General features: G+C 37.0%; 1 protein-coding gene across 9 annotated transcripts in view, besides 1 other annotated feature; it reads left to right on the top strand.

Annotated features, from left to right (window-relative positions):
• GPATCH2 (G-patch domain containing 2) overlaps positions 1-25,836 on the top strand; it is a 204,099-nt gene that overhangs the window by 77,948 nt on the left and 100,315 nt on the right. Inside the window, exon 6 of one of the 9 annotated variants that reach the window (XM_011509694.4) lies at positions 7,398-7,519. The exons of the other annotated variants lie outside the window; for them this stretch is intronic. Within the exon in view, the coding sequence (XP_011507996.1) occupies positions 7,398-7,496 (99 nt within the window). The 3' untranslated portion in view covers positions 7,497-7,519. Of the gene's footprint in view, positions 1-7,397; positions 7,520-25,836 lie in introns of those variants that run through there. 9 annotated transcript variants of the gene reach the window in all.
• Positions 10,120-10,229: a silencer, noted in NCBI's record as "silent region_1818". NCBI's record gives its function as "represses an Ori minimal core promoter by ATAC-STARR-seq in GM12878 lymphoblastoid cells {active_cell/tissue: GM12878}" and the evidence as "EXISTENCE:reporter gene assay evidence [ECO:0000049][PMID:35858748]".

Below are 25,836 nucleotides of genomic sequence, written 5' to 3'. Positions count from 1 at the left end.
TCTGTCTTTTAAGGGAAATGATCGTATAACTATTTTTTAACATTCTAGATTTGGTGTTTCCCCTTAAGAAAAATGAACTTGTTAATAATAATGAAACTCTGAGTACTTTTGCTTTTGATTAATGATTTTCCCATTATTATCACTTAAATATGTAATTTAGATAAACCAATAATTATATAATTCAAATTCACACTCCTGAGATGATTAAAAGGTAAGACTTCTGAGGTTTTCATCTCTCCAAAATGCAGGTTCACTTCCAGGGTTCAGGCCAACTGACATGCCATCATTCATTTTGTCTTTCCTTCATAATGAATCTTTAAGCCTTGAGGCACTAGACTCATGCAGATTTTTTTGCATTTCAGTGTCTTGATGGAATAACAACTTCCAATTTCAAAACCAAAGCATATTGTATTTCATCTCTGTAGACCTAGCTTCACCCAGTAGTGGCCACATGAAAATATATGACAAGAACACTGTTTTTTCATATTGGAATTTAGGCAATTTGTTTTCAGAGTGTGAGCAGTTTCAACCTATTTTTGGAACCCCTTTGGGGCCTGACCATTCGTTCCAACATAATTTATGGTGGCACAGTAACATATGGACTTTTCATCACTGTCCAGCTGAAATTCTCTGTTGAACATAGACTCTTCTCCCTTTGCCCTCCTGTGGCTACTTTTACTACTACCTTTACTGCTTCTGGAACAGGTAAACCAGTATTGAATTTGTATTAGGCCACATACCCCTTTAACTAGGTAACTTATTAAATTAAATTATATGAGTACATTCTGAATAGTATATGTGTGTATGTGGATATGCCATATGAGTATGTTTAAGTTCTGATGAATATGAATATATTTGAAGTGCCTTCTTATATGTAAAGGCTGAACTTTAGTTGAGGTTGCTTCAGTAACTGTTAAGAGAGGTTTTACAAGGTTTTTATTCATATACATCAGAGAGGTTTTATTCATATACATAGGAGAAGTTTACAAGGTTTTATTCATATACATCAGGTTGGTTTGTTGGTAAGGCAGTCAGTATTTTTTCCCCGTATTTCACAACTAGATATACTACTTGAAGTTATGTTAGTAACTGATAGGTAATTGCAAATTTACCCATCTAAAAATAGGTTGATTAAGAATTTAAAAAATTATCTTATTTTCTTAATAAAGTTCTTAGCCTGTAATGTTAAAGAATATTTTCTGTGGCATCCAAGGCTATGATAACTGAAAACTAAATAATTTAAATGAAAATGGGTGATGTTACATGATATGTAGTTATTTTGTCATCGGCAATCATGCCATTTGACCTTCCTTATACAAGTTCCATAACCCCTCTAAACTCTGGTTTCCTCCCTTGAAAACTGGGTTAACGATAAGTACTTCTGTTGCAGCATTTTATTGTGTTAATGGATATAAATTGCTTAACATGATTTCTGCCTAACATGGCACAAAGTTTTAAAAAAATATTCAGATACAACAAACACAACAGTGAGTGAGATCTGTGTTCGTATTTCTCAGTTCATGGTTGAAATTGCTAATGTGGCTGGCAAAGGAGACTTTTTTGGCACTGTTTTCAAGGTTAAAATATTATTAGAGAAGACTAGCAGTCTTGGTTCTTTGAATATTAACCTAGAGCGGTGGGTGGTATTCAACTGTACTATGTGTAAGAATCAGCTGGAAGGCTTGTTAAATTAGGAGTTGCTGAGTCCACTTCCAGTTTCTGATTCTGTAGGTCTTTGTTAGGGTTTGAGAATTTGCATTTCTAGCAAGTTCCCAATTGATACTGATGCCTTTTAGGAACACTGATCTCCAGAGACCCTTTCTTAAATGACAATGAGAATGAATTGAACGAATTGATGATACCTTGCCTGTGTGTTTAGTAACATTTGCATCAAATAGAATGCCGGTGCAGGCCTACAAAGAGCAAAGACTTTGTTTACTGACCATACATCTTTTTCTGTTTCTGACATAACCAGATTTGCACTCCTGACTGGTCTAGGTTTCTCTCTGTTTTTTTTTTTCATGATTTCTGAAGAATTCTTGTTATATTTTCTTAAGAATTTAAAGCTTCTTGAATGATTTTGATTAAAATATTATTTCAAATTATGAATTTTTAACAGATTTATAGTGCATAAGCATATGAAAAATCATCTGTCCATGTAAGCAAAAATTCTTCATAAAGTCTCTGATTATATGCTATGTAATTAGACTTACTAATCATGTAATTACTTATCTTAATTATTGCATGCCTTACTTGCTTCCCTACATGTATTTAAATAATTATATTATAATAGTATATAATTACAAAAATGTAGTATAATATCACAGATATTTTATTGCTTATAGAGAAAATATTTGTTCATTAAAATTATGTAAAGCAGACTAATGGAAGTTAAAAATGATTTTAAAATCATGTGTTTAAAATTGTGATAAGTACAGAGTAAGCTATTTCATTTTTGGAAACAAATTTTACTTTATGGGTTTCTGTTATTGAAGCAAGTTATTAAACATTTTTTATTTTGTCAATAGATATTAGCTATGTCTTTTTTTTAAACCAACTAGGTAACAAGAAAATTTGACTTTCACTTATAGACGAGTGTCATTCACTAAAAATAATTTTAATTAATGATGATAGCATAATTTCCGTTTGTATTTAACACTATTCCTAGATTTTTTTTCATATGTTTATTGTTGGTATCCCTTCATGAGAATCAACTTTGAGGGTAATGAATGTCTATTTTGTTTACCTTAAGGTCCTTAAGTTCAAATCAGTACTCAGCACTGAGCAGGTAGGTTTCTGTAAGCATTTGGCGAATAAATGAATAATAATGATCTTTTATTGGGCACTTACTATGTGGTAGGTCTTTGGTTAAGAATGTACATACTTTATCCTCATCATGCCCTATAAAAATTAGATATTATTAATCATAGAGGAACCTGAGCTTACAGAAACCTACCATGTGTCACAGCTAACAAGTGGTGAACCCTTGTCTTTCTGCTATAGAACCCAGAGTCTCATCACTAAATCATGCTGCCTCAAAGTCTTATATTCTGTGGGATAAAATAGAAAAATATATAGTATTTAGGAAGTGTAGATATTGGTATTTAGGAAAATAGGAAACTAAAAATGGTGAATAGACAGTTATTCCTTACAGAGTTCTCCCGTTAAAGAACTAATGAGAAGGAAATGAAGTATGATTTTGTTTGTATATAATTTAAAGCAATTGTCATCCAAGTATGGTGTTTGCACCCAACTAAGAGCAAATCTAAATGTGAACCTAAATTCACTGAAAATTTTTAGTCTTAGGCTTTTCTTTTTTTCTAATTCCTATGACTTTGCATAAGACCTGTTAGTTTATGGATTGATTTGCTGATTAGGAAGTCTTTCTATGTTTTGATAGTCTTTCATTCATTTAACTAAATTGGTCAATTCTTCGTTTTTTCTCATACATGGTTCTTAGTAGATATATCTTACCAAGGAATATGAGTTATCAGCAAATGCTTGTTGAATGAGTGAATGAATGAATGACAAGAGTCTCTAAGTATTTCATTACTTTTGAATGGTCTTCTGTGAGATGTAATTCAGATAAAATGGGCCATTTGTTTGTGTCATAAGGGCAAAGATGGAGAGGTAAGAAGATACTACATCAAATAAACTTTTCTCATGGGATACTAATCTTTCTATACACAGTAGCAGGAATATCTTAAATGTTTCTGGAGCATTTTCATTGCAAAGCAGTATTTGCCATCTTCATTTCCCAAATATTAGCTACAACAGACAATCCTGACATAACAGATATATGGAACATGAGGGAGAAGTCTATATCCTGAGAAATATAAGTTTATAATTAACTTAAAAAATCTCATATTGATCTAAGTTATGAATTCTATGGTCATTAATTGAGATTAATTAAAATATATCTCCCATGATGTCTAACCCATAATATGTTCTCAGTAAATGGTTTTGTAATTGAACTGAGAGGCTGTGGCCTTAAATGAGAGCTGCCAAAACTTAACTATTTTGAAAAGAATGTGTTTAGATACTGCTAGACAAAGCTGTATAGAAGGAGGAAAAGAACAAGCAACAGTATACAGACATTTGTTTGCACCTGGCAACTACCACTTCTCAGGTGATTTTTATTTTTAAAGAGAATAGAGCACCACCATCAAACTGTGATATCTCCCCATGTATTAGTCTGTTTTCATGCAGCTGTGAAGAAATACCCGAGACTGGGTATACTATAAGAAAAGAGGTTTTATTGACTCACAGTTCCACATTGCTGGGGAGGCCTCAGGAAACTTACAATCATGGCGGAAGGCACCTCTTTACAGGGCAGCAGGGGAGAGAATGAGTGCCAGCAGGGGAAATGCCAGATGCTTATAAAACCATCAGATCTCATGAGAACTCACTCACTTTCATGAGAACAGTATGGAGGAAACTGCCCCCATGATTCAGTTACCTCCCACTGGGTTCCTCCCATGACACATGGGGATTATGGGAACTACAAGATGAGATTTGGGTGGGGACACAGCCAAACCATATCACCCAGTTTTGGACAAAAGAAAGTTTTATAAAAATTGTGTGAACTGAATAAACTATTGAATTCATTATAAAAAGCCTGTAAAATATTCAAAGTATTCTTTTCACGACTGAGATTTCTGATTTTGCGAAGATTGAGAGAAGCAGGTGTCTTAGTATTTGTAGCACATGTAATCAAAAAGATTACTTTCATTTTCAGGGGTAACTGCATACCTGTGCAGGTTTGTTACATAGGTAAACTTGTGTCATGAATATTGTCGTATAGATTATTTCATCATCCAGGTATTACATCTAGTACCCATTGGTTTTTTTACTGATATCTCTCCCTTCCCCCACCACAACCTCCAATAGGCCCCAGTGTCTGTTTTTCCTCTCTGTGTGTCCATGTGTTCTCATCATTTAGCTCCCACTTATAAGTGAGAACATGAAGTATTTGGTTTTCTGTTCCTATATTAGCGTATTAGTCCGTTTTCACACTGGTATAAAGAACTACATGAGACTAGGTAAATTATGAAGAAAAGAGGTTTAATTGACTCACAGCTCCACAGGCTTAACAGGAAACATGACTGGGAAGCCTCAGGAAACTTAACTATCATGGCAGAAGGCAAAAGGAAGGCAAGCACGTTTTACCATGGAGGAGCAGGAGAGAGACAGGAGAACTAAGGGGGAAGTACCACACACTTTCAGACAACCAGATCTCTTGAGAACTCACTATCACTTCCCCAACAGCAAAGGGAAGTTCACCCCCATGATTCAATCACCCGCCGCCAGACCTCCTCTGACACATGGTAATTACAATTCGAGATGAGATTTGGGTGGGGACACAGAGCCAAACCGTATCAGTTAGTTTGCTAAGGACAATGACCTCCAGCTCCACCAATGTCCCTGTAAAGGACATGATCTAATTCTTTTTTATGGGTGCATAGTATTCCATGGTGTCTGTGTGCCACATTCTTAAATCCGGTTTATTGATTGGCATTTAAGTTTATTCCATGTCTTTGCTATTGTGAATAGTGCTGCAGTGAACATACGCATGCATGTGTCTTTATAATAGAATGACTTATATTCCTTTGGGTATATATGCAGTAATGAGATTGCTGGATCGAATGGTATTTCTGTCTTTAAGTCTTTGAGGAATTGCCACACTATCTCGCACAATGGTTGAACTAATTTACACTCCCGCCAGCAGTGTACAAGTGTTCCTTTTTCTTTACAACCTTGCCGGCGTCTGTTATTTTTTGACTTTTTTTTTTTGCGCTGTCACCCAGGCTGGAGTGCAGTGGCGCGATCTCTGCTCACTGCAACCTCTGCCTCCCAGGTTCAAACAATTCTCCTGCCTCAGCTTCCCAAGTAGCTGGGATTACAGGTGCCCACCACCACACCTGGCTAATTTTTTGTATTTTTGGTAGAGACAGGGTTTCACTATGTTGGCCAGGGTGGTCTTGAACTCCTGACCTCGTGATCTGCCTGCCTCGGCCTCCCTAAGTGCTGGAATTACAGGTGTGAGCCACCACGCCTGGCTTGACTTCTTATAGCTGTTCTGACTGGTGTGAGATAGTATCTCATTGTGGTTTTCATTTGCATTTCTCCAATGATCAGTGATGTTGAGCTTTTTTTTTCATATCATTGTTGGCTGCATGTATGTCTTTTGAAAAGTGTCTGTTCATGTCCTTTACCCACTTCTTAATGGGGTTGTTTGGGTTTTTTTCTTGTAAATTTGTTTAAGTTCCTTACAGATGCTGGGTGTTACACCTTTGTGAGATGCAAAGTTTACAAAAATTTTGTCACATTCTGTAGGTTGTCTACTCTGTTGATAGTTTCTTTGTCTGTACAGAAGCTCTTTAGTTAGATCCCATTTGTCAACTTTTTCTTTGGTTGCCATTGCTTTTGGCATCTTCATCATGAAGTCTGCCCATGGCTATGTCCTGAATAGTATTGCTTAGGTTGTCTTCCAGAGTTTTTATGTTTTGGGTTTTACATTTAAATCTTTAATCCATCACAATTTTTGTATATGCTGTAAGGAAGGGGTCCAGTTTTATCTTCCACATATGGCTAGCCAGTTATCCCAGCACCATTTATTGAAGGGAATCCTTTTACCATTGCTTGTTTCTGTCTGGTTTGTCATAGATCAGATTGTTGCAGGTGTGCAGCCTTATTTCTGGGCTCTGTGTTATATTCCATTGGCCTATGTGTCTGTTTTTGTACCAGTACCATGCTGTTTTGGTTATGGTAGCCCTGTAGTATACTTTGAAGTTGGGTAGTGTGATGTCTCCAGCTTTGTTCTTTTTGCTCAGGATTGCCTAAACAATAGTTTTTTTCTAGTTCTGTGAAGAATCTCAATGGTAGTTTAATAGGAATAGCATTTAATCTATAAATTGCTTGGGCATTATGTCCATTTTAATGATATTGATTCTTCCTACCCATGAGCATGGGATGTTTTTCTATTTGCTTGTGCCATCTCTTATTTCTTTGAGCAGTGGTTTGTAGTTCTCCTTGTAGAGATCTTTCACCTCCCTAGTTAGCTATATTCCTAGGTATTTTATTAAAAAAAATTAAAACTTTGTGATATAAAAACTAGTAAGAGAATCTTCATTTCACAGGTAAGAACATAGTAGTTGGCAGATATTCAAACCCACAGTTCATCCTACCCATTGTCTAACACTTTACCCAGAGAAAATTATTGAAATGGCCTTGTTGGCTTTATAACATTACAAATGTCTGTTTAACAGTTATCCATTTTCTCAGCAAATACATGTTATGATCTAGCTGTATGTAAAATCATTTCATCTTTATTTGACGCTTTGTAGTTTATAAAACCCTTTATGTATTTTACCTCATTTTAGTTTTCTATACATCAGGGCCTCTCATCATCCCAGTTTGACCTCACGATTCCCTGGCTTGTTCTTTTGACCACTTGTGCTTGGAGCCATGGACAACACAGAAAAACAATTACATAGTCTACTGCCAAGAAGCCTATAATCAAGAGAAAGGTCTGTAGACAAGTAGCTATTAAATCAAATTACTGTTAAAGTGTTTAGACATTCAATGAAGGACAGATCAATTTTGATTGGAAAGATGAGAATTTCTTAAGAAAATCCTTTCCTTTTATTTTCCCTTTCTGTGGGAGAAAAGTAATAAGTATGCACCTTTATGCCCGCAGACTCTAGGTGCTGCCCAAATACCCTCTATGATGAGGATTAGCACAAAAGAGGCCAAGACCTCACTCTAAGATCTTACCAGCCAGTCATCTTCCCAGAGTCTGAGATATGGTCTTGGTAGTGCTTGTCCATTGACGGAACTCCTGCTGTGAATAAACAGTGCTTCACTGTCGCTCTCCACTCACATTTCCGAATTGAAGGGTCACCTGGAATCTCTGATTTCTGGGCTACCTCAGCCAGGTTTTATATTGTAGCCGCCTGTGAGAAAGTGGGGACAAGCATATATTGACCGTTCTTCCAGGAAGTTGGGCTTTCAAGGGAAAGAGAGAGAAAGGAAATGGCACTGTTCAGAGTTTTGGTTGGTTTTAATAAAGGAGGACCTAAAACCTGTCTGCCAATTGAGAAGGCTCCAGTAGACAGGGAGATGTTGAGAAAAACAAGAAGGAGAGGGGCTGATGGATTGAATGAGGTTCCTAATTAAGTGAAAGACAGCAGGAGCCAGAATATACAGATGGAGAGCTTAGCCTTAGATGGGAGGAAAGACATTTCTTTCATTTTACTAGAAGGAACATAAAGGGCAGGTATATTGGAGTTAAGTTTACAGTTTCAGGGCAGGAAATGAAAAAGTATTCATTTATATTTTATTTGTAAGATAGAAGGCAAATTTGTTTGCTAAGGTGGGGGATGGCAGGGAGGTGATGAAAAGGTTTGAATGGACTTGAGAACGTTCTAAATGCCTTATGTGAAGAACCGAAGAGCGAGATCACTAGAGACTGTTGGGATTGCCCACTTGCACATACATTGATAGAGTTCATCTCAGTTGTGTGGCTTTTTATTTCCAATAGCAGTTAGCAGCCTGGGTATGGAAGGCAGATAATTTAGTGTGTGGAGAAATCTTGGTTTGCTTCTGATTAGGGTTTACTTAGGCTGGTGTGTGGAGAGAAGAGCTGACAAAGGGAATTAAACTTTTTTTTTAAAAGAATGTTGGCCTCTGGGTTGGAAAGGATAGTGGACGCAGGAGAATCACATAATTTGGTTTGTTTGTTTGTTTTTGGAACAGAGTCTAGTTCTGTTGCTCAGGCTGGAGTGCAGTGGTGCGATCTTGGCTCACTGCAACCTCCGCCTTCCTGGGTTCAGGTGACTGCTGCCTCAGCCTCCCCAACAGCTGGGATTAGAGGCTTGTACCACCACATCCGGCTAATTTTTGCATTTTTAGTAAAGACAGGTTTTGCCATGTTGGCCAGGCTTGTTTCGAACTCTTGACCTCGAGTGATCCGCCTGCTTCAGCCTCCCAAAGTGCTGGGATTACAGACATGAGCCACTGTGCCCAGGTTATTGCAGTTTCATATCTCAGTTCAGATGTTCAATATAAGAATATCTGGAGTAAACTTTTTTAAGACTTTATAAAGGTAGTAACTCAAGTATAACTATATACACACACTACAAATAAGATAAATTAACATCTTGATATTAACTTCTAGTCCATTCACATTACAGAAGCAATACAACTGTTAGCCAAGCGAGCCTGAGAAAGAATCCTCTTGAAGGATTCTCTTCTTGGTTTCTCATCTTTGGTTATAACTATGGCTTTTCCTGCCCTTCTTTGTTTGTTCTGTTCTTGTCCCATGAAACTGTGGGCTGGACTGGTCATTTCCTCTTATCAGTTCATTTAATACACTCTTTCTCAGAACATTTAGGTGTTTATCATGACTTAATTTCAGGCTTTGCTATTAGCAGCTTACAATATGCCAAGTATTGTTTTAAAATATTTGATGAGTAACATCTTAATTATTCTCACACTATCCCTATAAGTCAGACAAAGATGACTTTTAATCATGTTGGGAAACTGAGGCATGGAGCAGATTTAAAACATTCCTGGCCAGGTGTGGTGGCTCACGCCTGTAATCCCAACACTTTGGGAGGCCGAGACGGGCAGATCACGAGGTCAGGAGATCGAGACCATCCTGGCTAACACGTTGAAACCCCGTCTCTACTAAAAATACAAAAAATTAGCTGGGCGAGGTGGTGGGCGCCTGTAGTCCCAGCTACTCGGGAGGCTGAGGCAGGAGAATGGCGTGAACCTGGGAGGCGGAGCTTGCAGTGAGCCGAGATTGCGCCACTGCACTCCAGCCTGGGCGACAGAGCGAGACTCTGTCTCAAAAAAAAAAAAAAAAAACGTTCGCATCATCATGCTTTTCAATGATGTAGCCTCTGAGACATAAATCTAAAACTGACTCTGGAGCCAACACATATAGCCACTACTCTGTACTAAATGTTGATCCACTATATTCTCTGACTAGCAATTTCTTAGTCCCTAAGGCATCTGTCTCTTCTTCACAGTGTTATGCAGATATGAAATAAGGCTAAGTGGACTGATGTAGGTAAAACAGGCAGAACTGTGCCTGGCTCATGGCAGGTGTTTAGCAGTTTTAGTTCCCTTTCTTGTCCCCAGATGCCACCTGCACCAGCATCTTAAGCTCAGGGATAGATTACTCTCTTTAGTGAGCTGCAGCTGACTGCCTTTCTTTAATGTCCCTACACTATTCTGCCTTATGATGTCAGTGACAAAGTAGGTGAAAAACTTCCAGATTAAGGAAAAGTGGAAAAGCCTGTGGAAGAAAATATCTTGTCAACTCTGGAGGATATTAAACCCTAGGCAAAGGTTTCAGTTTAGGACTTTAGTATTAATTCTTAAGACGTTTTGGGTTTTAAGTAAGAGAAACCCAACTCAGCCAGTCTTATTATGCTGAGACATTTTTAAAAGGAAATAGATGTTTATTGGCTTAGAGAACTAAAATGTTGAATCCACAGGCTTAAAGGATGGCTTTGGTCCTAAATCTGGCGCCTTCCATCTGTTGGCTGTTTTCCTCGGGATTGAGCCATTCTTGGCCAGGCTCTCCCGCTTCCAGAGACGGAGGGCTCCCAGCGCTTGAAACTTATATCTTATCTCTGGAATCCTTCCCCCACCCCAAAAAGAGGAATTTTTTTCTTTCCAGTAGTTTCAGAACTGTTCTAGAATTGATTCTTGATGACTTTCACTAGGGAATATCCACATCCCTGAGCCAACTATAATGGGCATAGCATGGGGTGCTGTGAATGGCCAGGCCTGGGCCAGGGAATCGGAGACTGTGTCACTGCGTCTCCTACCGTAAGGATGGGAGAAGGATATTTTCCTGTGGAAAAAATCAGGATGTTGTTATTAGAAGGAATAGACACTGTCACTTACAATCAGTATGTTATTATTAGTAGAAGGAATAGACACTGTCAGCCAACCAGCAGATGTTCATCACAGCCTAAACCCAGCAGGATTCCTCAAGAAACAAAGCTTAAATTGTATAATCTCGACCCTTTTGACTTCAGGGTATATAGCCCTCCTTAAAATTTTTTTACCAAAAAGCAAGTTCTTACATCATTTATGAGCATGAGTGACTTAGTTGGACCAAAGGACATGCTAATAAGACAACTGGGATGTTTGGTCTTTCTATAAAAAAAACTCTACTTCAATCTTCCCAGATGGAATACCTAAAATGTAGCTTGTGAAAGAGGCTTGAACATTTTATTCCAACTAAATTTGGGTGTTCTCAGCTTCCACTTTGTCATTTATCTAAAAGGCTTGTGTTGTTAACTTGCCTATCAGATTATTATGTGAGGTAGTGAATTACCCAACCCATTGTCTTACACATAGTAGATGATAAATAAGTATTCACATGGATTAAGAAAATAATTGAATTTTACTATATGTATGCATTTAACTATTGCTAATTTTTAGGATACTTATGTGGCTGAACAGAATATAGAAGCTTAATTTTTATGATTTTTATTCTTTTGTTAATGCAGGCAACAATGTAGAAATTGCTGGAAAAAAAAATGAAATGAGCTCTTTTCAAATCAAGGACTTTTTGTAATTATCGGGCTTTGAGACTCTACTTGTCAGACCCCTAGTGACTCACAAGACTGTACTTTTTAACTGCTGTGACAGGACATCTGTATACCCTAAATATGAAACTGCAGGGGGAGAAAACAAAAACATTGCTGATTTTTCTTAGGAAGTATAGAAATTTAGACTCATGTCAGACATCTGAATAGAGCAGTTATTACCTTGTGCCCAGTCATTTCTACTGCCGAATTGTGTTGCATTCAATGATATCAGATTTATGAAGGCTTTATTAGAGAAATAAAGTCACAATTTGAAGAAATTGACAGAATTTTCAGTATGAGTAATGATTTTGCTTTTCTTTAGCTTTAGAGAGCAAACTTAGGATGATAGAAGCTGTATCAGTGTAGTACTCTGTCAAAAGGAGCTCACGGACCTTAACCAAACTTGCCTACCGATGAAAGAACTTAATACAGAAGCTATAGATGAATATATTTGTCCCAGAAGTTTCTAAAATTCCTGGCTGTTTGGCCAAATTCAGTGAAATGTTTGGATACAACTGGAGTTACGGTTGTCACACAAGTACACAGGATACATCTGGCTCTTATGTACTCTCATTGAGTCTCCAGAAAACAGTATTACAATAAATTTGTGCACAATGCCGTATTTCAGCCTCAGTGTTTTAGCCAAAAATAAGGGTCGATTGTTCTGAAGAGAGAGACTGTGGGAACAGATATTAAATGCCACCTTGGAAGCTGTTATTCTTTTCACCTTTAGCTACGTAGTCCTAGGGCTATTACTTCAAATGTATGTGTACTAGGTTCCTCACTGCTAGACATTTGGATGTTTTTTTCATGTTTATAATTTCATTAAAAGACTTATCTTGAATAGTAGGTACTTGTTGAATCCTGTTTACCACTAAAGTGGTTCAGAATTGATCCTTTAAAGAGTAGCACTATTGTGCAAACACTGTGTACTTTAGTGTAATAAAGTTGACAAAAATGGTTTTATTGTTTCGAAAGGATCAATCACTGCTATGTTACTAAAAGAAAAAAGATTTTATATTTTTGAAAACACAAGAAGACTATTGTTTATTACTGCTATCAATGTAAAACTTCATGTTACTTTCACACGTAATCATGCAGTGTTTTGTTGAATAACTGGGACTGCTACTTTAAGATAAATTGTTATCATAGGGCTCCAAGACAGGGAAAATACAGGAACAGCCTGAAGCCATAGGACCCAATAGTACCTAGCAGCCAGATGCAAAAGGGGCACTTAGCTGCAAGTCTGTGGGTCTTACTTCCTGTTCATCTGTCTGGTTTTTCTCCCTCCCTCCCTCCTTCCTTTCCTTCCTTCCTTAAATATCAGTTTAAAGACCATTAGAACCCCTTTGTGATTGTGCCGTAATGAATTAATTGTGCTTTATCAGTTATAAAATTGAACAATAGTATTTAATTTTTATATTGCCTAACCTTCCAAAACATTTTAGTGTAAAAACTCTCTAAAGAAATGCAGTTCTGAGATTGGAAAATTTCAGGTTGAACCTGATATGCAAATGTTTATCATAGGCAATTTTTATGTCCAACCTATTAACTCAAAACTAAGTGGTTATGATAAAAGTAGTGACTATTTCAAACATACAGTAAGCATAGATGTATATCATTAAGTTTTTTTATAAATACATATATAAATAAATTGTAAAACAATCAAGAAATCAAGTCTTTCAGGGTTATCTATTGCCATTGTTTCCTATGCATTGAAGCCCTCACCATAGCCATTACGATAAAACATTCCCTAAGTACATAAAGGCTGTGATCGTTAAGATTTTTATTGCCAGCCACACATACAGAGCTGCAAATTGCCTTGTTTCAGATTTATTATGTATTACTCCAGAAATTCTATAAAGATCAAAAGAACTGATTACAATGTTGACCTTTGCATTAACTCATCTGAATTTAAATTCAAGTGTTTGATTTGGGAAAATAAGTCCATTTATCATAGGTCTGCTACTGAGGGGATTGTGCAGCACTGATTGGGAGTGCTGAGACCAAATTTATTTATTGAGCGTGGGCTTGAAAATTGTTTGTAGGACAAGAGGAACAAAAGTTTGACCTGCCATTGTACAGTACCAGGGGAACAATGTGGACATTGCCCTTTTCAAATTTCAAATAGTCAGTCTGTTTCAATCTTGTTTTTAAAATCTCCAGATAGTAAATTGAGCAAATATATACTGGTTTAATCATATAAACTCTTCCTTGATTTGAAATTAATGATCCTTCTTTTACTGAGAGAATAACCATTTTTTTTCAACGTGGTATTTACATTTTGGAACAGTATGAGATGCTTCCCATTCTGAAATTAGCCTTAATATATTAGAATCGAGCTCATACTTGTCAATGTTTTATTTTTTTAATCTGATGTACTAAGGAAAAAATTGTAGTACTGTTTTCCTATATGGAATTATGGATTTAATTAACTTTCACCTATGGAACTATTTAATTATCGACACACAGAATTCTATTAAACTCATATGCCATACCAACACCCACACCCCAAATGGCAAATCTTGTCCACATTGATACACCTTTTCATCTGCTTTTAGATAAGCAGAGGGTATAAGAAAGTGATTTGATAAAGGGGGCAGTGATGGGAGTCAGCACAAGGCATCAGCATGAATCTATCCCTAAATGCCCATGCTGTTTGACAGTATAGCATTCATAACAGTGTGAAAAATTAGGACCCAACACTGTTAAGTGTGACGATGATGGACATAACTTGGCCCATAGTAACCCAAAGAGTCTATTGGTGTATATATTTAAAAAAGCGTACATTGTGGATTAGGATTTATGCCCATCTTAACATTAAGGTTCAGCTCTTCTGCTCTTCATGGTGATTAACCTTCCAACCCAAGCCACAGTCAGAATGGAGAGGCCAGGGTGTTACCCATTTGCTAAGTTTCAATGGGCAGACTGGAAACGATTACAGTAGACCCTTGATATTTGCAAGAGATTTGTCCTGAGACCTTCATGTATCTGCAAATGGGAAAATGTAATTACATATTATTTTCCCCATAAAATCTGGTGAAGTATAGCTAAAAACCATTTTGACCCTTCAGACTATTAAGGTTTCTATAAACACAAGAGTAAATTATTTATAAAGTTGTTAAAGAAAATTCTGCCAATAAAATAAACTCCATAGCACATAACATCATTTTAGTGACATTAACTGAAATTTACAGAATCTGCAAATCTTAAACAAGATTGATGTAATGACATTTAGGTGTACAAAGGTGTATTGAAATGTGAATGCTCAGCTAACTTGTCATGAACCTGCTTCATGTATGTGAGTCACATCATTAGAACTGCCACAAAAGCATGAACGAATATATCATGCCTTTTGGATCTCTTGAATATTTCTCTTGTAAAATTTCTTGGGTTCAAACTTTATTTTTTTAAATGGATGTAGATTTTTTAGTTGATACCTACAGGAATCTATCTAAGTTAGAATCAATTTGTTTTTTGATGGAAAGGTAGGGCTGAGAGAATAGTTTTGTACTTATTTCATCTTTATACAATCTAAAAATAAAGGATCCTGGTAAGGAGGAGGTAAAGTCTGTGTAATTAAAAACCTAGTGTTTGTTACTGAAAGAAATAAATATGTATAGTAGTTAGATATTATAATCTGCTTATTGTCTTTAAATAAGTTTTGTAATTTTTAATATTAAAAAACTGAATTGCTGTGAGAAAATCTTGAATGATGTTATTGTCAATTTGAAATTGTTAGAATTATCCAGATGATTGAATTAGTGGGAAAAGTTGTATTTGTCAAATTAATTTAAGCATTTCCTTTTTTCCTTATGTAGTCTAAATGGACATTTAAGCCCTCAATGGTTTGATTGTACTTTGATGAATTTGACTCTTTTGTTTCACCATTTTTAGCATATAAGACCGAAGTGGTTTCATTTGTTGTGGTAATGATTCTTTCACCTCATATTTTAATATTTTGAGTAGCATCAGGACAGTGATAGTAGTGAGAGGATAGTTAGGAGAGACAGGGTTTTAGAAAGAGAATACCTGTTGTCAGTGCAAAGCACTTATAATCTTTATAATATATAATTATAACCTTTATATATTATAAAGCCTTATAATCTTTCCTATCTCATACTTAAGATAATTAATTTCAATGTAGCAAACATATATTGAACACCTACCATGTGCCACACACTGTCTTAAGTAGCCCAGATACGAAGTTTATTAATTGAAACAGACTGTATTGTCAAGGGATTTGCTACCTAGCAGGGTAGACATGTGCTTAATATAATACGGTAAAGTGCGTTATTAATGGAATGAACAAAAAGCTGACGAAATTCAGAGAGACGGAATAAACCGAAAAGGACTCCTTTTCTTTGATTTCTAATCTGTATGAAAATGATCTAAGAACTCAACATAGAATCACCAAATGTTTTTGATGCAAAGGATTTTAGAGAAAATACTGAATTTTTTTAACAGATTCAAAAATCTAGGTCCAATGACTTAAAGTGACTTATCAAAGCTCATATGTCTGTTTGTTTGGCTGGTTTGTTTGTTTTGTTTTGTTTGAGATGGAGTCTCGCTCTGTCACCCAGGCTGGAGTGCAGTGGCACGATCTCGGCTCACTGCACCCTCCGCCGGTTCAAGCGATTCTCCTGCCTCAGCCTCCCGAGTAGCTGGGATTACAGGTATGCACCACCACGCCCGGCTAATTTTTGTATTTTTTCAGTAGAGACGGGTTTTCACCATGTTGGTCAGGCTGGTCTCAAACTCCTGACCTCATGATCCGTCTGCCTCGGCCTCCCAAAAAGTGTTGGGATTACGGGCATGAGCCACCGCGCCTGGCCATACATCTGTTTTTTTAAGAATATAGTTATTGATTACAGATTTAGTGTACTTGTAGAGGTTACCATCTAGGTAAAACCTTTCTAATTACTAGAAAGCAAGCAATTAAGTTCAGAATTATATAGTATTCACCTTAATTGCGATGGGATTTCCAAAAAATTAGAAATAGGCTAATAGAAATGGAGAATACACTATAGAAGAAATCAGCAAATTATTTGGATAAATGGAGAGTATCAGTTTGAATGAAAGAAAAATAAAATAAGAAGCAAAAGAATGGCAGTTTCTGGCACAAAAGTCTTGATAAAATATTCAGTGCATGTATGCCTCTTGTTTGCCAGAGTGTTGTACTTATAATTTTTTCTATGTATTTTCTCTTTTTAATCCTTACAGAAAATCTATGAAATCAGAATTAGAATCAATTTATGGCTGAGATTATTGAGGCACAGAGTGAGTTAATTAACATAGCTAGGTTGCATAGTAAAAGAGATTGCTTCATCTGACTACAAAGCACTCATTCTTTCTTCCATACTATCCTGTTAGTCATTAATAGATGACTCCCAGATTTTCTCACTTGTGAGACTAAAAAAGTACTGGTATTCACCAGTAGCCAAAAACAAGTAAATAAATACTAATAAAATTTTAAAATTGGGCTTTAGGAAAAGATGCTAATTTGAGAGAGATTCTAATGAATTTATTTGGATGTAAGGAGTTCAATGTGATTCTTAGCATATACAAAAACAGTGTAAGTGATTTGAGGGAGAAAAAGGGATGGGCAAAGTTAAAAGAAATTTAAAAATTTTAAAACATTTTTCTAATCTGAAATCAGTAGCGGCGATGAGGTGGAACTATTGCCAGAGTTTGTGGTATGCTGCTCATGAGGGTTTTTAGTTCCAATTCCAAGTACACTGGGGGTTGTTCTCGTAAAACCGGAGTCAGTTGTCTATTCATTCAACAAATATTCTAGGTAGTATTTTCGGTACACAGGATGCATTTTGAACAGTCTTCTTTCTAGCTTTTACTTAAAACAATCTTGTACATTAACTTGGCCGGGCGCAGTGGCTCACGCCTGTAATCCCAGCATTTTGGGAGGCCGAGGCGGATGGATCACGAGGTCAGGAGATCGAGACCATCCTGGCTAACACAGTGAAACCCCGTCTCTACTAAAAATATAAAACAAATTAGCCAGGCGTGGTGGCGGGCACCTGTAGTCCCACCTACTGTGGAGGCTGAGGCAGGAGAATGGCGTGAACCCGAGAAGCGGAACTTGCAGTGAGCTGGGCTCACGCCACTGCCCTCCAAAAAAAAATCATAATAATAATCTTGTACATTAACTTAAAAAGAGAATAAAAACTTCCTTTTTAGACTGTTACCTCAGTATCAACTCACCCACTCAACTGGAGTTGAGTAAGTAGATACTTGACATTGAGGTAACAGTCTAATACAGAGGAATTTACTTTTTCTATTTCGCTTAAGTCAAGTGATTGAAACTAAAAACCAGCAACAGTACCAGGATTGAGTAGTCCTAATAACCAGGTCTGAGTTGAAATGTCAAGCCTGTTGGTAAAGCAGATTGGGGCTATAACATCTATGAAATCTGCTAGGCATAAGAACTAGCATTATTGGGTCCTTACTATGTGCCAGGCATTTTTCCAAGCACTTTATGTGTATTAACTCATGTAATTTTCATAACAGCCCTATAAAGCAGGTTTTACTATTATTGACCTTTTACCTATAAGGCAAGAGAAGTACTAAATAACTGAATAGCTAGAAAGTGACAAAACATGAATTTGAACAAGACAGTATGACTTAAAAACACAAACTAATCTCCAGTTATTTAGTGCCAAGTTGAGCTAAGTAACTGAGACAGACATCTGCAGTATCCTGACCTGAATGTAGTTAGTACCTTTACAGCTCATGGTGCAATAAATTTTGTACCCTATCCAACTGTATGGTCATGTGACATCTGGTAACCCAGTGAGAATTGGGAAAGGGCCAAAAGGATCCAGCTTTAAAGAGGACAATTAATTTTTGCTTAATCCGGGTGGTGGTGAGTGCAGAGGGTACCAGTTGTGAGCTTTTGTTATCTTTAGATATCCTAAATGTTCTTTTTTTTTTTTTTTCACAGACTGTAAGTAATTTTATAAATGGAAGAAGAAGTTTAACACAGAATTTCATTTTGAATATGAAAAATGGCCTTATTTTATAGGTGAAAGTTAACTGGACCATCAAGGCCATGCTCACTAATAAGAAGATGGGCAACTTTTACTTAAAAGCTAATACTTTACCCAGTTGATAATAAGATTAAATTACAGTCTAGTGTTTCTGATTTGAGAATGAATGTTTGCTAGTATGTTTTCATGGCTGTTCCTAAATCTTCAAAATGTGGGTGGCATAAAGTGTGGTCTGTATTTTATAGGAGAGAGCAATTAATTATAAGAACTGTAAGAATCTTTTTATTTTCATTTATTTATTTATTTTTGAGACAGGGTCTCGTTCTGTTGACCAGATTGGAGTGCAGTGGCGTGATCTTGGCTCACTGCAACCTCCACTTCCTGGGTTCAAGCGATTCTCCTGCCTCAGCCTCCTGAGTAGCTGGGATTACAGGCACCCCCCACCATGCACGGCTAATTTTTGTATTTTTAGTAGAGGTGGGGTTTCATCATGTTGGCCAGGCTAGTCTCAAACTCTTGACCTCAGGTGATCTGCCCACCTTGGCCTCCTAAAGTGCTGGTATTACAGGTGTCAGCCACCATGCCTGGCTGTAAGAATCTTTTTAATAGATCTTATTTTATATTCATTTAAGTATTTCTATACATAATTAAAAGAGCACAGAGTTTTCTTGCTAATTATATTTGTTATCCCCGTTGCTATTTACCAAATCTATATCTATATTCAATAAAAAGAGCTTAATGAAAACCTGTGCACCCAGGATTCTGTTATACATGATTCAGAACAAAGTATCTGGCATGACTTTCATGGAGATACCAACGTAAATATCAAGAGAAAACATAAATACTTAAGTCAACAAGTGATTATTGCTTTATTTCATATTTGCCATGTGCCAGACACTGAGCAATGTATGGGAGAAACAAAGTTGATTAAGAGACAATTCCTAGTCTCTAGATGCTGCTAGTCTGAGAACCACACTTGGATGACCACGGCATGTGGCAATGCTTCTCGAAGTGTGATCTGGAAACCACTGGGGGTCCCTGAGACTCTTTCAGTGGGTCCCCAAGGGCAAAACTGTTTTCATAACGCTAAGATATTATTTGTCTTTTTCACCTTTATTTTTTCACAACTGTGCAGTGGTATTTTCTAGTCTCCAGGAGGTGTGTGCTTGTAGATTCTTGAATTTAAAAACACAGTTTTAATATCTCATACACTCAATATCAATAGATATAATCCGCATAAACAAAAGCTCTTTGTAGTCCTCCATCATTTTTAAGAGTATAAAGTTTGAGAATTGCTGTTATAAAGAAAAGAGCAGGCTGGGTGTGGTGGTTTATGCCTGTAATTCCAGCACTGTGGGAGGCTGAGGCAGGCAGATCACTTGAGCTCAGGAGTTCAAGACCAGCCTGGGCAACATGGCAAAACCCCATCTCCCCATCTCTAAAAAAAAAAAAAATTAGCCAGGTGGGCATGGTGCTATGCATCTGTAGTCCCAGCTACTCCGGAGGCTGAGGTGGGAGGATCACTTGAACCTGGGAGGTCAAGGCTGCAGTGAGCTATGATGGCACCACTGCACTCCAGCCTGGGTGCCAGAGGGAGATCCTGTCTCAAAAAAAAAAAAAAAACAAAAAAAAAAAAACAAAAAAAAGATAAAGAGCACAACTTTTTACAATTAAGACCAGTGGGACCCTCTTCTGTTCTCTGACCTCACATTGTACCCATCTTCCCTTCCCCACACAGACTTCCATCCTACTCCTTGAACATGTAAACTCTTCCTTGTTTCCAGGCCTTCATATATGCTATTTCCTTTGTCTAAGAATGTTTCATTCCTCCTGCCCTTTGCTTGGCTGCTCCATCTTATCCTTCAGGGGTCAGGTCAGCAGGGGTTCCTCTTCCCTACCACCTTCTCCTTATTTATTTCATTTCATTTTCTAAAATCTGTAGTGTTCTTGTCTGTTTGTTTTATTCATTGTGGCTCTCTAGAGTAAAATGTCAGTCCCATAAATTCAGGGGCCTTTTCAGTCTTGTTCACCAATACATCTCCTCTTCCTTGCTCAGTATACATAGTCAGGGCTCAATATGTTTTTTGTTGAGTCAATGAACCAGACATTTCTGGACCAAAATAGTGGCTGTGCTACTTGTCAGGTAGGTGGCCTTAGGTAAGTTGTTTTAATCTCTCCGAGCCTCATTTGTAAGATTGAGATAATAATTAGAATCTTGCAGAGTTGTGAGCATTAGAAATATTTAATATGCAGCTTCTGAGAGTTTCTGCCACCTAGGAAGTGCTCAATCATCGTTTGTTGAAATCAATAATAATGGATGCTATTTACTGAGTACATACTGGGTTAATCACAGAGGACAAAAGAATAAAACAGTACCCCTGCACTTGGAGTTGCTCACAGCCCAGTGGAGTGTGCTACTTGGGATTCTGTTTGTGTACCGGTCCAGCGGAGTTGGGTTGTAGTGACATTATGTCCATGTTTCACAGACTGACTATGATAGACAGTATCCTATTTTTTCAGATTCCATGGTGTGGTTTAATGTCCACAGAACTCATAGTTAATACTGTGAAACAATTCAAGAAATAATTGGTGATTTCCAGTTTCTTAATTATATTGATGCATACATGCTCCTCTTGCTTTGTAGGTAGCTTCTAGAATGGTTTGTAAGCACATATGATATATCCTGCCATGTTCTCAGAGTATATGCTAGTGCTTGACAGCATCCTTTCTGTCATCAAATTTCTTAACAGTGTGCTACCCAGGAAGATAATTCAGCAATTTTTCTTTTTTCTTGTATTCTTTTTTCCTCTGTTTTCACCAACTTGTCAAAAATGTTTTAGGTGTTCATTAATGATAGTAATGAGCATCTCTTTCATTTTCTATATTTTAAAAATTATGAACCACTCTTTATGCAAAGCACTGAGTAAATTATATGCCTGTAGTCAGTTGATTCTCTTTGTATTGTCTACTATTTTTTTTGTGTACTATTTCATGAGATAGGTATTAGAATGGTTTTAATTATGCAGATGGCAGTGTGCCTTCAAAAACACCATATCCAGATTTTTGAAAGACTACAGTATTTAACCTGTTTGTGAATTACTTGAGGTATAGTCTGAATTTTTATGACTATTGTAAAATGCTAATCAGCTCTCATGAAAAATATTTGTGCTTTTGACTAATTCAGCACATGTTTCACTGTAGGCAAATGTGCCAGATCCTGGTGGCAATACAATAGTAAATAAGACATAGCCTCTGCTTTTGAGAAACATATTATTATAGAGAAGACAAACATATGTGTAATTCTAACATGAGGCAGATAATCTGTTAAGTGATATAAGAAAGATACAGAGACATATAGGAATTAAAGTTGGATAAAGAAATTACTTCTGTTTTGTGTGATCAGAGAAGCCTTCAAGGTTCTGCATCGTTATTTTGTATAAAATTAAATAAAGTGTGTGTGTGTGTGTGTGTGTGTGTGTTTGTGTAACTGGGCTTGGGAGGAGGTGCGTTCCCTTTATTTCTTCCAACAACTGAATACCATGTATTCAACTGGTCTGCCTCTTCAGGTTTTCAGGCCCTTAGAATTGGCCAAGAAAAGCAAATCAGCTGTAAAACATTCAATTTAGAGACGATTATTATAGCTAAAATACTTCTGTGTTTTATTTTAACTCATGACCTTTACACTAATTGAAAAGCATCAGAATTATCAGCCTATACAGTCACTAATAATGTCTTTGTGGAAATTATTGAATTAAGTTTTATAATTTAGACTAAGTACCACAGGCTTTAAGTAACTATTTTTAAACATTGAGTGTTTTGTAAACTAAATATGTATCTGCACTTCTGATACAATCACGAGAAAAAAATTATTCATTTGATTTTTATTTTCAGTTAATTCACTGAAAGAAGTGGTGATGGCCCCAATAAATAAACATCTTTGATGGCATGATTTTTCTGTGTACACACCCTCCTTGCTCCCAGTCCCACCAACCCTACAAAACTCCTTATTCTTGCTAGCATCTACTGTAACATTTATTGTCATCTTATTATTGAGATTGTACTTTGCATTAGACTGTGAAACAATTAATACAAATAATAATAGCTAATACACACTGATCTATGTGCTTTACAAATGATCTCTTTAATTTTTGTAATAAAGCAATGAAATAGGTACTATTATCCACCCCCATTTTGTAGATGAAGCAATTGAGACAGTCATAACACTGAAACATGGAGAAGTTAGTATTTGGACCCAGGCAGTCTGGCTCCATAGCCCAGTTTTCATCTCTGTGCTCTTCCATTATTAAGAACTACTTTATACTGGAGGGGAAAAAATGATGAAATCCACAAATTTCAGTTTATTTTGTTAAACTTGGTGGATAGCATATTTCATTGTGATCACTGCATTGGATAACAAGAATTACTGCTAGGACTCCATATTACTTTGTTTTCTAGACTTACCACAAAGGTTATGTCTTTGTCACTGTTGATTTTGTAACCTGTAGATTGAAAAGCATGACATACATTACATTGTATTTTTTTACTATGAAACAGTGAAAAAGCTTAAACTAGTATTTAGTACTTTACTACTTGTGGATACATTGGAAGATTTTTATCTATTCTAATTTGTAAAGATAATTCCTCTATTCATGAGTATGTTCTAAAGAGTTGATGTCAGTTTGTAAGTGTGGAGAGCAAAAAGTTAACTCTTGGGCGAGATAAAATATACCTTCTTTATTTACTACATTTGTTATTTCTCATGAGCTTCTGACTGTTAGTGCCGGGTGTGGGGAAATTGGGAAAGAAGTACATTGGTGGAGGAACAGGAATCTGGGAATCATCTTAGTCTGTTTTGTGTTGCTATAACAAAATACCCAAGACTGAATAATTTATAAAGAAAAGAGGTTTATTTAGCTCACAGTTGTGCATGCTGAGAATTTCAAGGGTACCGCACTGTCTTCTGGTGAGGGCTCTTATTCTGCCTCATAACATGGAGGAGAAGGTCAAAGGGGAAACAGACATGTGTGAAGAGAAAAACCTGAGCGATGTCCTGGCTTTATAACAACCCACTCTGGAGGGAACTAATCCATTTCTACAAGAATTAATCCAGTCTTCCAGCAGGAGAACTCACTACCATGCAGAGGGAACCAAACCATTCTTGAGGGATCCCATGACCCAAATGCCTCCAACTAGGCCCCACCTCCCAATACCATTATGCCAGGGACCAAATTTCAACATAAGTTTTGGTGGGGACAAAACAAACCATATCCAAACCATGGCAGGAAGTGAAAAAGATTTTCCAGTTACAGTTATCTCTGTATAAACTATTTATTTGGGTAACTCAGCCCCTTTTTAACAAATGCTTGTTCTTGCAGTTCTCCTCTGTCTCCATCTGATTCTCTCCATGGTGGCACTACAGAGCTTATGTGTCCTGGGGGTAATTATAGGGGAATCTTTTACCTCAGATCCATGCATCATCTGTCTGTCCAATCACTGTTCTTTGCCTTGCTGACCTCTAGCTGGTCTGGACTGAACACTGGCACCACATTCACTTCTGTGAGTCTGGTTCCATTTGGCCTTTGGGGGTATTATTCTGGTATTCATTACTGAAGCCCACAGATTCCAGCCATTTGCCTCGGATCTTCAAGTCCCTTTGCTTTCTTGAATCCCAAGACAGTCCTCACCCTGGTCCCCTCAAGAGGGTACAGGAACTCCTGGATCACCTGTCTCACACTCAGACCTTGGGGAACCAACAGCATTCTCTCAGGCTATCTGTCTGGCCTCCTCCTTCCACAAATGCAGCATTTTTACCTCTGTGCCCTGTTGGACAAGGTGCCAGTTCAAATGTGGCACCTCTTCTAGACATGTTACCTCCCTGACTGTACCTCAGGGAACAGACATCCCTCAGTCCCCCCATGCTTCTCTGACCTTCCACCTTACTTTATGCAAGAGGCATGGAGATCATTAGAATGTTGGTTTCTGACTTACTCCTCCTACTTCAGCCTTAGTTCTCCTTTTCATTCACCAAGGAGCAAGAAAGGGCAGGATGCCTCAGGTCCTAGTCATCGTAGGCAGAAGGATTTGCCTCATCCTGCTGTGTGTAGAAGAAACTATGTATCTTCAAGCTCTTGATACAGGATCTAGAAAGCAACGAGGAAGTAAAGGCAAAAATATGGAAATTTAATACATGAAAACGTTATCTTGTTTGTGTCTTTTTAGTTATTTTTACTTGGCTACCCTTAACAGAGTCTGATGATGTCAATTAGTCATGAAAATCTGGCTTAATTTTTAAAGACTTGAACATAGAGATTATTTTACAGGATGAACAATATTCTTAGATTTCTGAACCTTTGTTGCCTATCCAACCATTATTTTCCATGAACTTCTAGTCAGGTTTATTTCCTCATTTCCAATATATATACCCTTTTGATTCATAACTTGTTTATGCATACAGTCACCCCTCCTTCCATTGGCTTAGATCCTAGCCAGCTCTAACACTCAGCATAAGTCTCATCTCCTCCAAAACCCACATTTGCTAATTTGGGCTTTAATGATTTTTTTTAACTTCCGTTGCAGTTATAACTAAATGAACACAGTTTAGTAGTTGTTTAATCTTTATATAGTTTTATGTTTTAAGTCTGCAACATATTAGCTAGTAGGGTTGATATTGTGCAATTCATTAGAATCTTCCATGTAGCACCTGAGTGCTGGACATATGAAGTAGTTGTTCACTATCTCCTCTCTTATTAGTGAATTCCTGGTCCACCAAATGACTTGTTGTTTTCTAGGACTAAATGTAGAATTTAATAGATATAATTGGCTTCATTATTATTAAAATTAGGGATTGAGCTTGGTGTACATAATAAAGTATCCAAATAATGGTGGCTCGAACAAGAGAGGGTTTTGTTTTGTTTTGTTTTGTTTTGTTTGTTTCCCTCCTGACATAGAAAGGCACGTAGTGGCTTGGTTATCCAGATAAAAGATGCCATGGTGGAAACCTTTGATTCTTTTGGTCTTTAACTCCTAGTCAAAAAAAAAAAAAAAATGGATGTTATTGGCCGTATCCCAGGCACCATGAAGTACAAAGAAGGGCACAAGGCACATGCCAACTGAGTCAGTCACTTAAAGAACTTTCCTTAGAAGCTTCACCTGGTGACTATACATACCTCTTATTGTCCAGAACTCACCTCACAGGAAGTGAGTTATCTCTGGCTACC

This window comes from Homo sapiens, chromosome 1, assembly GCF_000001405.40.
Source record: "Homo sapiens chromosome 1, GRCh38.p14 Primary Assembly".
Lineage (NCBI taxonomy): Eukaryota > Metazoa > Chordata > Mammalia > Primates > Hominidae > Homo > Homo sapiens.
The sequence above is the reverse complement of the archived record's forward strand: the minus strand, read 5'-3'. Positions and strand labels throughout refer to the sequence as shown.